The 13,819-nt window shown below is 36.8% G+C and overlaps 1 protein-coding gene across 20 annotated transcripts in view; it reads left to right on the forward strand.

Annotated features, from left to right (window-relative positions):
* DNM3 (dynamin 3) overlaps nucleotides 1-13,819 on the forward strand; it is a 576,969-nt gene that overhangs the window by 357,799 nt on the left and 205,351 nt on the right. Inside the window, exon 16 of one of the 20 annotated variants that reach the window (XM_017000989.2) lies at nucleotides 8,859-9,986. The exons of the other annotated variants lie outside the window; for them this stretch is intronic. Within the exon in view, the coding sequence (XP_016856478.1) occupies nucleotides 8,859-8,876 (18 nt within the window). The 3' untranslated portion in view covers nucleotides 8,877-9,986. Of the gene's footprint in view, nucleotides 1-8,858; nucleotides 9,987-13,819 lie in introns of those variants that run through there. 20 annotated transcript variants of the gene reach the window in all.

A 13,819-nucleotide genomic window follows, 5' to 3' on the forward strand; every position in this document is an offset into this window, starting at 1 on the left:
TTTCATTTGTAGAGGATTATTTTATGTCCAATTATATGGTCTATTTTAGAGTACATGCCCTGTAGCAAGGAGAAGAATGTATATTTTGTTGATTCTGGATGGAGAATTCTGTAAGGGTCTATCAGATCCATTTTGTCCATGTCGAGTTTAGGTTCTGAATATCTTTGTTAATTTTCTACCTTGTTGATCTGTCTAATACTGTCATGGGAGTGTTGAAGTCTCTTCCTATTATCATGTGGGAGTCTATGTCTCTTTGTAAGTCTCTAAGAACTTCCTTTATGAATCTGGGTGCTCCTGTGTTGGGTGCATATATGTTTAGGATAGTCTTCTTGTTGAATTGAATCCTTCACCATTATGTAATGCCCTTCTTGTCTTTTTTGATATTTGTTGGTTTGACATCTGTTTTGTCTGAAATTAGGATTGCTATCCCTGCTTTTGCCTGTTTTCCATTTGTTTGGTAGATTTTCCTCTATCCCTTTATTTTGAGCCTATGATTGTCATTACATGTGAGATAGCATGTAATGACAAGACAGCATACTATTAGTTCTTGCTTTTTTATCCACTTTGCCACTCTGTGCCTTGTTGAGTGGGACATTTGGTCCATTTACATTCCAGGTTAGTATTGATATGTGTGGATTTGATCCTATTATTGTGCTGTTAGCTGGTTATTACATAGGCTTGTTTGTGTGGTTGCTTTACAGTGACACTGGTCCATGTGTTTAAGTGTGTTTTTGTTTTAGCTGGTAGTGGTCTTTCCTTTCTATATTTCATGTTCCTGTCAAGATCTCTTTTAAGGCAGATCTGGTGGTAATGAATTCCCTCAACATTTTCTTATCTGAAAATTATCTTGTTCCTCCTTCACTTACGAAGCTTAGTTTGGCTGTATATGAAATTCTTGGTTGAAGATTTTTTCTTTAAGAATGTTGAGTATAGGCCCCCAATCTCTTCTGGCTTATAGGGTTTCAGCTGGGAGGTTCACTGTTATCCTGATGATGTTTTCTTTGTAGGTGACCTGCCCTGTCTCTCTAGTTGCCTTTGAAGTTCTTTCTTTCATTTTGACCTTGGAAAATCTGACAGTTATGGCCTTAGGATAATCTTCTTGGGTAGAATCTTGCAGGAGTTCTCTGTATTTCCTGAATTTGACTGTTGGCCTCTCTAGCAAGGTTGGTGAAGTTTTTATGGACAATATCCTGAAATATGTTTTCCAAGTTATTTGCTATCTCCTCTTCCCTTTCAGGGATGCCAGTGATTTGTAGATTTGGCATCTTTACATAAACCCATATTTCTTGGAGGTTTTGTTCATCCCTTTTTATTCTTTAATTTATTTTTTTCTGATTGTCTTATTTCAGAGAACCATTCTTCAAGTTCTGAGATACTTTTCTCAGCTTGGTTTATTCTGCAGTTAATACTTGTGACTGCATTCTTGTATTGTGTTACTCATTTCTGTCAGACTCATTAGATTCTTTTTATACTGGCTATTTTGTCCTTCAGCTCCTTTTTGCCTTATTGTGATTCTTATTTTCTTGGATCGGGTTTTGTCATTCTCCAGAATCTTGATGATCTCTGTTCCTGTCCATATTCTGAATTTTATTTCTGTCATTACAGCCCGTTCAGCCTGGCCATTTGGAGGACATATGGCACTCTGGCCATTTTAGTTACCACAAAGTTCTTGTGTTGGTTCTTTCCCATCTCTGTGTGTGGGTGTTCCTTTTAATGGCAGTATAGATTGAGTACAGTCAATAGACTTCTTTTTTGGATGCTTTCACCAGGCTGAGGCTTTGTGCAAGGTCTTTATTTGAAGCTGCCTTTTTGTCTCTGGTTTAAGAGGATGATATGTTAGTGAGGTATTTTTGGTGTTGAAGCTTTAGGGTGTGATCCAGCAGGTGGCACTTAGGCTTATTGGTCAGTTGGTAGACTCTTGCTCAGTCATGTGGCTCCCCTATGTTTCCTCACAGTTACAGCCGTGTTCTCTCTCAATGCTCTGAAAGTGTGGGATCCTCTCCCCCTTGAGTGCTGGCTGTAGATCATGACTTGGTACTCCTTGGCTGCCCACTGCAGCTCTGGGGTGATCTGTGTTTATCTTTCTTCCCCAACTTGGAGACAACAGAGGAAGGGAAGTTAGTAGTGGTCATGGTCTAGGGTTGTTTGCTTGACTCCTGGGGCCTTCACCCCAAAGAGATGCAGGTCAACAATTGCTCAGTGCAATCAGCCCAGAATAGAGGGTCTGTGCTATGGGCCCAAGCCAGGGGTTCCCTGTGTGGTGATGAGCAGTGGGGGATGTGTGGGACCCATGGGAGATGGATTGGCCTCCTCTCCTTGGGTTGACTACAGCTTGTTGTAGTGTGAATAAGGCACTTAGGGTTTTTACTCCTTCATTAGTGCAAGGGTAGCAAGGGCAGTTCCACTGCAAAGGCAATGGCAGAGAGGCTTTCAGTTGCCCCTGGGGGCCTGGTCCAAGGAATTTCCGAATTGCTACTGGCTCGATAGCTCTGGCAGGGGTTGGCTGGAGGCCCAGGCCTGGAGGACCTGTCTAGTGAGGAGATATGGGAACGGACACCCATGTAACAGTCTGTCTACTTTTCTATAGGGCTGCTGTGGCATGCTTTGGTTCCACTCCAATTTCTAGTTGCCTTGGATTTTCCTGTACCTGGGGGTATCACCAGTGAAGGTGCTTCCCTGCAAGAAGGAGGTTCCCCTGGCTCCGTGTTGCTCCCGGGTGGGCCATTGTCCTGTCTTGCTTTTCTTTATTCTCTGTGGATCAAGTTATTTTCTTGATTAGCCCCAATGTGAGTACCTGGATGTTTCAGTTGAAGTTGTTGTATTTACTTGCCCTGTTCATTCCTCTCCATGAGAGGCATGCACACTAGCTACTTCTAGTAAGCCATCTTGCTTTATCTGGTTTTGATTTTAGAGTAATACTAGCCTCATAGGATGAGTTAGGAAGTGTTCCTTCTGTTTTTATTTAAAAGAGTTTGTAAAGAATTGGTATAATTTCTTCTCTAAATGTTTGGTGCAATTCATCTGTGAAACCATCTAGGCCTGGTGCTTTATTTTTTGAAGATTATTAGTTATTGAATCAATTTATGTAATAGATCTAGGCCTATTGAGATTATCTATTTCTCTTTATGTGAGTTTTACTAGATTATGTCTTTCAAGGAATTGGTTAATCACGCTTTCAAATATCCTACTTATTACCCATATATACTTTTGATATGATATATTTCACACTTCATTACTTTATATATGTATTTCTTTTACTAAATTGTGGGGTTCTTGAAGGTACAAACCATGTTTTTAAATTTTGCCTCCTTAAGACTTAGCGCGGTAACTGGACATTTCAACCAATGTTGACTGAAATGAACTGAATTTCTCCAGATTGTCAACTGGGCGTGAGAACTATGTCTGAGAACACCACAGATATAAGAAGAAGAACATAAGACTATTATTTATATTATAGATTTTACATTTGATAAAGGTTTAATCTACCAAGTTCTTTTAACTGGTTTGTTTCTGTGTAGCATTTTAATGTTGGACTGTAGACAATTTACTGCTTGAGAAAAGGTTGACTGAGAGTGAATCAGGGATATCTGAAGTTAAAGAGTTTAATTCAAAGTGATGATGTTTATCATTGAAGGAAGTATTACTAGAATTATAAAAATGTGACTCACCCTTTTCCAAATTTCTAGAAATTATCTGTTGCATAAAACAGAACACACCTGAATAGACACAATAACCATATAACTGGGGCTCTACTGGGGCTAACGGATCATTAAAAATTACAAAACAGGAAGTTAGACTTGTAATTTAAACTTCTGCTTAGTCTTTGGCTGTAATTAAATATTATGTTCAGGACAAAGAATGAGCTGGAGGGTCTCTTCAATCTCTGCTGTGATCTGCTAACTGCTATTGTTTAATTGAGGTACCTCGTGTTCCCCAAAGGCTGAGCCACAAGCTGCTCTTTCCAGACGCTGTGTTTAGATTCCTTGTGAGCCCTCAAGTGCTGCATCCGCTGAGAATTGGTGTTGCATTTCATTGATGTGTTCCGCCTCTTTTGGTCAGATAAACCGAAGCATAAACATTGTGCTGACAAACCCGGGTCGCAGAGTGGTTTTTGGTCGCTGAACTGCCCAAGCAGATTATTAAGGGAACAGCATTTTAGCAGCAACAGCAAGTTGTTTATATGATATCTGATCCCAGACATTTTGCATATCTTTAACATGATATGAATCTATTTTTGAGGTTTGTAATGATTATGGTAAACAACCAGATTTCCTTGTGAAGTAGACTCATGTTATTTCTCAGAATTTATCACATTATTTATCTGTATTTCTTCCCTGTAGTCTGTGAAGTTAGCTTTTGTATAATAGGGTGTGTGTATTTATTTACAAGAAAATTACTCTATGTGTTAAAATAATGTTTAGCCTTGTTTTCTTCTTATTATTAAATAGTGTGTTCTATATGGGTTGGTACCAGACTAAAATTTGTATAATCACTCAGCAAAAAGGCTAAATGTTATAATGTATAAATTCTGATGTAAGTTTGATGGTTAAATTGGTTATTTATGTTGTGTATAAGGTTTGCAAGGCTACTTAACCAGCTTGATTCTTCATTTCCATCACTATAAAGTGGATAAAACTGTATGCCACATTTTTAAAGGTGAAAAGATTATTGATATTTTTATGTAAAATGGCTGGTACCAAGGGTGTCATTGCTATTAAACATATACTTCTGCAGGCAGAGGTTTTTACTGTCATGAAAAAGATTTTCTTAGCAGTATGCAACATCTCCCAGTGCTATGGCATATTTTGACAGAGACCAGGTGTGCTACTTTTCTTCTGTATAATTGAGCCATGTCAAGGAAACATCACAATATAATGGCCTTTGTGAATTTATTTTGAAACTTAAAACTGGCATATTTTTGGTATGTTTTATTGTTTTTAGTGATATTGTCTTCTAGAACCTTAACTATTTTGCATAAACTGATACAAGCAGTGCATTATTTGTTTGTTCTCAAAAAATACACCTAATTGTGTTAATATAAGACTAAGAGGACTAGTGCAGTGCTCCTAAAATAGCAGTGTGGAGACCTAACAGCAATTATTTTTGTATTTCCAGACTTGAATTATTTCCACTTCCATAGAATAAAATTTCTGTTCCCCTCTTGAGCATCACTACTTGAACAACTTGCAGGCCTCTGAAACTCAGCCCACTCAAAACTCACCAAAACTAAATTGGTTTATTTTTTGCCTTTGCCTCCATGCCCTGCAAACCTATTGCTCTTCTGCATGTTCTATCTTTGCTAATGGCCTCAGCAGCCACACGTTTCTCCCAAACTACACGTCCTCAGAGTCCCTGTGGGTGTATCTTTCTCCTTCTAAAAAAACAGTATATTAAACTTGCCTTCAAATCCTGATGGTCTTTTCTTTCTCAAATACGGTCCCTCCTCTCAATCTTCTGGCTCAGACCACATGCTTACCATAATGTCTCTGGGCCATTACAGCGGCATCCTGAATGTTCTACCCTCCACACCACATTGTGATTATAAAAACACAGATGTGATCATGTCACTTCCCTGGGCAAAACATCTGCTGCCTCTTGATTGTCCACTACATGGGACAGTGTTTTACAAGTTACAGGTTGCAGGCTTTTAATAAGTAGTGAATTCAAATTAGTGAATTACATTCAGCTATTAAAATATAATGGAAAAGAAAATAGTAGAGTGTATCACATTTAGTAAAGACATTGTTCTGTGAAACTCTGTTCTAGTTGTATTTTTCTGTATAAACGTGCATGTGTTTTGGTACTGTTTCATGATGTAAAATGTACTTCTGATCATGGGTAATAGTCTTGAAAGTTTGAAAACCATCAGAATAGAGGGTAAATTCAAACTTTTTATCAGGGCATAATCTTTTATAATCTTCCCAGGTTACCTTTTGCTATCATCTCTAGCCACCTCCTTGGAGAAGCCTATTCCTATTTCCATTTCAAGAACACACTATATTTCCCTGGCATGAACTTTGCCTTTATTCAAGCTAGCTCGTCTAAATGGACTACCAGTTCTTACACTTTTTAGTCTCAGGATCTGTTTAAACTCTTAAAAATATTGAATACCCCTTAGGAGCTTTGTTTAAGTGGACTATAAACTACATTTATCAACACGAAACATACCATAAATTAAAATGGAGAATTTTAAGAAACATGTATTAATATTAAAAATAATAATGAATCCCTTATATGTTATCCTAAGTGATACATTTTTGTGAAAAAAATCTGTATTTTCCAAAACAAAACAAAATTAGAAGAGTGACATTGCTTTATATTTTTGCACATCTCTTTAATGTCTGAATTAACAGAAGACAGATTCCCATATCTGCTTCTGTGTTCACTCTATTGCTATGTGTTGTTTTGGTTGAATGATATGAAGAAAATTCAGCCTGTAATGAATATATAGTCGGGAAAGGAATGAGTATTTTGATAACCTTTTCAGATTATTTTGTAGATATTCTTCTTTAATACTACACCAAAACTCAACAAGTGATAGTTCCTTAAACATTAGTTGCAATGAGTCTGATACCCTACCAATTAACTTTTCACAGTACATGACATTAAAATCTATTGATAAGTCTCCTTTGCACCTTGAATGGATCTTTTACCCATGCATGAATTTGCAGTATCATGTGTTGGTCATTTGAAGCATATTGGTTCCCTGAATAATATGTAAATCTTCCAAATTTTCACTCATTTCATTATACATCAAAAAATTACATTAGTTTATATCACCACTGATTGCATCAAATAAGTCTTTAAATATTGGGATGCTTTCAAGCTTACTATGACAGATACAAGTTTTGCAAAATTCGAATTTTTACTTACAGGCTGTAATTTTAGGATTGGAATCCAATACTATCAGCTGTTTTCCTTGACATGTTATACAACTGAATTAAGGTTTCATGGGACAGTAACCACAGCTTGTGATACATTTGAATTACTGTAGTTTGTCAGTGATTCTTTCAAGTAAATATAGTGTTTTTTGAAAAAAGCACAACTCAAACAATCACACAAGTGTTTTTCCTTGAAACAAGCATTGAACTGCAGGAAGCAGAAGAAATGTTTTATGTCTACTTCCTCTTTTCTTTGCACAGATATTAAAAAGTCACATATTAAAAGGTCAAGATTGTTAAAAATTAATAATTTTTACTGTTGTATCAAGGATTTGCCTAAATAATACTGCTTTTTTTTTCTTTTACTGCAAGTACCTGGCATTGAAGAACACCACTGCAGGTACAATTTGGTGCCACTGCTGTCTTGTGCTAAGGCACCAGCAGTTTTACCCACCTTTTCTTCTGCACCATCAGTGCAAACGTCAACATAGTGGAAAAGGCAAATAAGAAGTTAATATTATTATGAGATAGTCTTCCTATGGGCCTTTTATCTGGGTACCCTAAAAAGATCTTGCTGACACCCAGGAGCTGTTGTTTATACTTTGAGAACTGCTGACCTGAAGTATCTTCTCTAAACCTATTTCGTACTTGGAAAATTTGTATTCAGACCTAAAGATCAGGCTCAAATGTTATATACTTTGTGAAGCTTACTGAAGCTCCCCAGATTAATTTGTCACTACTCCTCTGAGTTTCTGTATATTGTAGTCCCTATCACATTTCTCTTTGTCCATGAGGTGCTCCTGTTACAGACTGAGCTTTATTTCTCTACCACCCACAAATGCCTGGTAGATGCTCAGGATTTCTTAAGGAGCAGAAGCCTGTACCCACTCATTACACATTCTGGCTTTTGTTATTCTCCCCCAAGTCTAACACAGGTCAGAAGGAGAATAATTACTGCCTGAGGCAAGTAATTTTCTGAGGCAAGCAGGGACATTTCACCAACATGTCCTTAGTGCTACTTCCACAGGTATCAGAAAACACTGACGTGATGCCTAGGGTTCCAGTGTTATATTGACATTGTGACACTAATGCAGATAGCACCAAAAAAGCTACTGTTCAATAAGTGTGTGAATAGTTCCCCTGTATTCTTTAGTCCAAACCTTGATACAGGTCAAAAGGTCATTTTAGGTAACTCCACCCTAACTGAAGATGCCCTTGGATCTCCTAGTTCTCATATAATTTTCATGGGAACTTAATTGAATATTTTTTAAAGTTTTATTTCTTATTTTTGTTCTAGAAACATTTGTTTAGCATTTACCATGTGTCAGGTGCTCAGCATTCAAAGGTAGGCAGGACATGAACTCTGCTTTCAAGGCAGAGTAACAGGGAGAGCAACAGGAGAAAGGCATTGAATTTGGTTCTCAGATTTATACTGCTTTTATTTTCTGTATTTTGAAATTTGGAAGTTAAGTGAGTTTTCTTGTTTCTTTGTTTTTATGTGTATGCTTTATTAATGAATGCTTAGATTATAAAGGTTGTCGTAGATATTTCAGTTGTAAATGTCCTTCTCCTCCTGTGTTTAAAACAGTGTTGAGTTTGTTTTTGGAAATCTGAGTTTCAGAGTAAGGCTTCTAGAATTTAAAAAATCACCTTAATATATTATTTACAAAAATATATCATAGTATCTCAGCATTGATTTTTCAACTTTATATTAGCTTCATGCTTTTTAGAGAATACAAAGAAAGTGTGTACTTCTTTAAGTGTAATATTTCTTTTTTAAAAAACTGCCTTTACTTCCATTTTGAGTTATACAGTAACAATGCTAAGTTTGTATAGCTTTATGTAGAAAGTGAAAAAAAAAATCCTTGCTTGTCCAAAGAGTTTACTATTTTTTGAATGAGACAGAACAAGCACAAAGATGTTTATATAAACCCAAGTGAGAATTTTGACTGATAGTATCTCAACTACAAATTGCAGTTTTTCCGCAAGATTTAGAAGAGAGGAGACCACAAGTAGTAGAAGACAGAAAACAGACACAGCAGAACTTTTGGCTTTGCTCTTTAAATGTAAGGATCTACTTCTAAAATCAGTCCTCATGTATTTTTATCTAGATCATGTTTTGCTGATGTGATGATTAATTTTATGCATCAACTTGGCTAGGCCACTATACCCAGAAATTTGGTCAAACACCAGTCTAAATGTCACTGTAAGGGTATTTTTTAGATTAGATTAGCATTTAAATTAATAGATTTAGAGTAAAGCAGGTTTACCCTCCATAATGTAGGTGGGGTTTATCAATCAGTTGAAGGCTAAGTCTGAGATCTCCGAGGAAAAGTGGATTTGCCTTCAGATTCAAGCTGCAGCATCAACTCTTTTCTGGGTCTCCGGCTTTTCATCCTTTTGTGCAGATTTTGGACTTCCCAGCCTCCATAACCATGAGAGCAAATTCATTAAAATAAGCTATTTCTACATACCCTATTTGCTTTCTAGAAAGCTCCAATAGGGTACAGGAAGCTTGCCCATGTATTTGGTCTTACGTTAGCCCAAGGAACAAGATGCTGCCTTCCTCTCCGCTACTCCTTGACACTGCTAGGCTTAGTCTCTTGGAAGTCATAATAATGTATCATTTTCAGATGACAATGCAGATTTCAAAGCACTTGCACGTTTGTGCATGATCAACTATTTCTGTAGAAGTATTCAGAAAGAGTGAGGACTAGGGACCCATGGGGAAAATAAAATTTGTTGAAATACATGGATCCAGGTAGAAAGGAAGCGACTGGTGGAAGAAGCAACAGAAGAGAGAAGGTTGGGAAAGCTCTGTCATGTGCTGAGTTGTGTGTGTCCCCCACCCCCAAATTCATATGGTGAAGCTCTAACCCTCAGTGCCAGAATGTTACTGTATTTGAAGATAAGGTCTTTAAACAGGTGATTAAGTTAAAATGAGGTAATCACAGGGGACCCTAATCCAGTTTGACTGATATCCTTATAAGAAGAGTAATTTTGACATACAATGAGACACCAAGGTCCCCACACAGAGGAAAAACCCTGTGAGGGCACAGCAAGAAGGTAGTTATCTGCAAGCCAAGGGGAGAGGCCTCAGGAGAAATCAAACCTGCTGACACCTTGATCTTGGACTTCTAGCCTTCAGAATCATGAGAAAATCATTTTACATTGTTTAATCCACCCAGTCTGTGGTGTATTGTTATGGTAGCCCTAGCAAAATAATACAGGCACCAAGGGTGAATATTGATCATTTTTCAACTTTACTTATACTAGATATGATTCTGGTTTATTAAACATTTCTGTTTACCCAGGAGCCAAGTGAGTGGTTCTCAAGAACTACCCTGGATAGACTACACTGACTGGTCTCTGAGGCCAGGGTGATTATTGCTATTTGCATTAAGCAAGGAGAAGACTCTTCCATATCTCCCAAGGGCCCAATAGCAATGCACTTCTGTGTCTGACGGTGCTCCTACCTTGGTCCATGCTGATCCACAACTGCAGCTCCAGAAATGGCTTGTAAGCACATATAACCAGTGAGCCATACATTACAGGGCACTTCAAACAGCCCAGTGATTTTTCAGTCTAATATTTCCCAGGCCATTTTTTTCCTCATCTGGAAAATGCAGTTACTGATGTCTGGGTTTAAATAGCTAAGTAGATTTGTAAAATTTAAAAAATTAAAATAATTTTAAAGATTATTAATTGTAAGATGATATAATACAACCATCAAAATGCACTAGCAAGTGATTCTTTATTGTTTTGATGCTTTTCCATTTTAATAGTAATAATTACATAATAATAATATTGTAGCTAACACTTACTGTTTACTGTGTGCCAAACACCATTCTAACCTCATTACAAGATGTTAAATTTGAAATATGTTGACATAGACTGTCTCATTTAATTCTTGTAACAAAGATGTGAGTTAGGTAAGGAAGGAATTATTCCCATTTTGCAGATGAGAAAGTTGAGACTTAGCAAAGTTCACTTTTTTAAATCAAGGTTACCCTTCTAGTAAATGGCAGAGTTTGAAGCATAATTTAAGTCTTCAGATTCCTAAGTTACTGATTTTTGCAAACAATTCTCTTATAAATGACATCAAATATATAGGTAATTAAGAGTAAGAGAGCGTGCTTTTTTTTTTTTTTTTTTTTTTTTGCCTGTTTGCGTTCTGAACAAAGAAATGTGGGACTCAGTAAGGTGAGAAAAATGACATTTGCCTCCCTAAAGGATCACTAACATTTAGCCCTTGCAGGAAGAACTGAGGTTGAAGAATGGAGTCCAAGAAGCACAATGTTTCTAACACCAGGAGCTGTATGGATTGGGGATCAGAAGGAAGCTGAGCTGGAACTTAAGATGCCTAAAGAGCAAGAAGGGATTATTAAGCCAGTACAAGAATAATAAAGTATAAAGTTACATCTGAACAAATCAAAAAGCCTATACAGGGAACCAAGATATAATGTGAAACAAAACACTAAGAAAACCTTTTCTTTCATTTTTTTATTTGTAAGATGAATTCAATTTATAGAAGGCAAAATATGTTCAAAAAGAAAAGTTGTGCCTTTGAGAGACAGAAGAAAGCAGATAACATATGTCTGTGGAAAATCCGAGGCTTCAACATACATCAGCATGTCCTTTAAGGTATAAATTGTGTTGGTTTCTATACTTAGATTTCATTCCTAGCGATAGCAAAAGCCAAGTGTGAGGGAAGAGTTTAGAGATAAACATGATAGAGAAGGAAATAAAGGGCATTTTTTACATCCAGCGATTTCAGCCATCCTTCCCTCCCTCAAAACAAAAATTCTGACAAATTTAAGAAATTTATGATTGCTATTGCAGCCAAAGGGCAGTTGAGTAAACGGAAATATATCTTACAGTTTGTTTCCAAAAGTTAAAAAATATTATCATAATTCCTTTTGGTGATTTCAGTATCTCAGGTAGGATAGAATCAACCCTATCTATAAAGATATTTAGGAAGCAAAGTAGCATTATTGCTTAACAAATACCTTGACTAACTAATTAAGGCTTCAGAAAAAGAAGACAGAGAGCGAGATTTTTCTGATTATCATCACTCCGTAATTACTAGTATTTTCCATAACCTAGGTAACTCAGCTGTCTAAGAAACAAAATCCAGCTGAAACTGAACCGTCTAAAGTTTTCCTTCTACAATTTTTTAAGGCCCAGCGCAGGATCCCTGTCATGCTAAAGTCTCTCCTGGATGTCTGGAAAAAGTCTTATAGTCTGGGAGACATTCCAAAATATGTGCAGTGACCATTGCCACAGGCGTGAACTTCTTAATGCATTTTGCAGAAATCTCCTCCACAATGAAATTGATTACTGTCTGAAAGGATTTTTTTCCCCTTTTCAAAATAGCAAGCAGCTAGAATATGCTTTTCTTATGTTTTATTACATCCTTAAGTATCTCATGTGGACTGAATGTGACTGGAGAAAGTTACCGGTCTGAATCTGATACATAATGTCTAGTTTAAAACAATTTTTTTACATTGATGGGTTAGATGAACAGCGAAAGGAAAAACTCTGGATGTTTGAAGACTACACATACAAAATTGTACACTGATTACTAAAACTTGAGTTTCTGCACAGTTTTCCTGCTGCAGAAACTGAAATAAGATCAGAGAATAAATGTGAAGAAATGGATTTTCAAGGAACAGGTGGAAATTGAAAAGAAAATGGAACCTGGAGTTTTGTGAGTGTGTCTGTCTGCCTTATGAGAATGACATTTATGAGGATGAAGGAGGGTTGGAGGGTTTGTTGTAATGCTTTTACATAATCAAGATCAAATTGTTCAAGCTCTTTAATGTTATCTATTTGTTGTATTTAGCAAAGGAATGAATTTGTAGCTAATAGGCAGTAATTTGGTTTTTATTCACCTAATAGAAATATTGTAGCAGAGCTGTCACCAGGCTTGTTGTAATGTCAAACAAAAAGTCTGATAAATGAGAAAAAAAGGATATACAGGGAATATATTGCAATTGCAATCATAGCAAAGAAAGAACAGAAAGGATGTCGATTATGAGATTTCTAATTCTTGATTTTGTAGCAGTTTCCATATTCTTGCTAGAAGCTGGAAAGTTGCTCAGTCCCTGGTATCAATCACACCTCAGCTAGACACTGAGGCTAGTCACTGCTGCTGGAAGATTTCTTCCTGACAATGATTCATATGAGCCAATTGTCAGGAGTTTTGAAGTTCTGAAATAGAAGTTGATGTATGTCTTTTACTGTGGTGCAGTCACTGAACATATTTCATATGACGGAAAATAGCTTTGCAGAAAAATTAACCTATTCCTTATCTTTAAACAACGTTGCCTTCAAAAATTACCAACTCATTCACAAGCATTACATTTTCTGAGCTTTTCACATTTCTTAATCTTATGGTGCACAGTCACCACAGGAGAAGGTGTGATATGTCATTTAAAAAGCCCAAACCTTTCGCTTTGTATTGTCACAAGGAACTAAAAACAAGGCAAATAAGTGTTTCAACTTATGCTCTTAGAAATTATTTCTTAAATACCACAAACTGATTTGGGTATATCACAAGGAAAGATCAGATAATTCTAATCCATGCTGAACATGTGATTTTGAAACAGAAACAGTAAAGATGAAAGGTGAAAGCTCCCATAGTAGGACCAGTACTGGAAGAGAGAGAGAGTGCTTTTTGACTGATGTACTCTCGCCTTACCTGAGTCTTTTGGTGTGAAATCATGGTCTTTTAGCACTGGAACAAACCTTAGAGATCGTCGTGTAGTCAAACATCTTTTTTTTGTAGATGAAGGAAACTAAGGACTGGAAAGGTGAACTAAGTTGCCCAGGTCAAAGAGCTACTTGGAGGAAGAAAATCTGAATCTCAAGAAGTTGGTTTGCAAACTTCTAAGTCCAGTGTTCTTTCTTCTCTTTCCACACACTGTTTCTTCCAC

The sequence above is a fragment of the Homo sapiens genome, chromosome 1 (assembly GCF_000001405.40).
Source record: "Homo sapiens chromosome 1, GRCh38.p14 Primary Assembly".
Classification (NCBI taxonomy): Eukaryota; Metazoa; Chordata; class Mammalia; order Primates; family Hominidae; genus Homo; species Homo sapiens.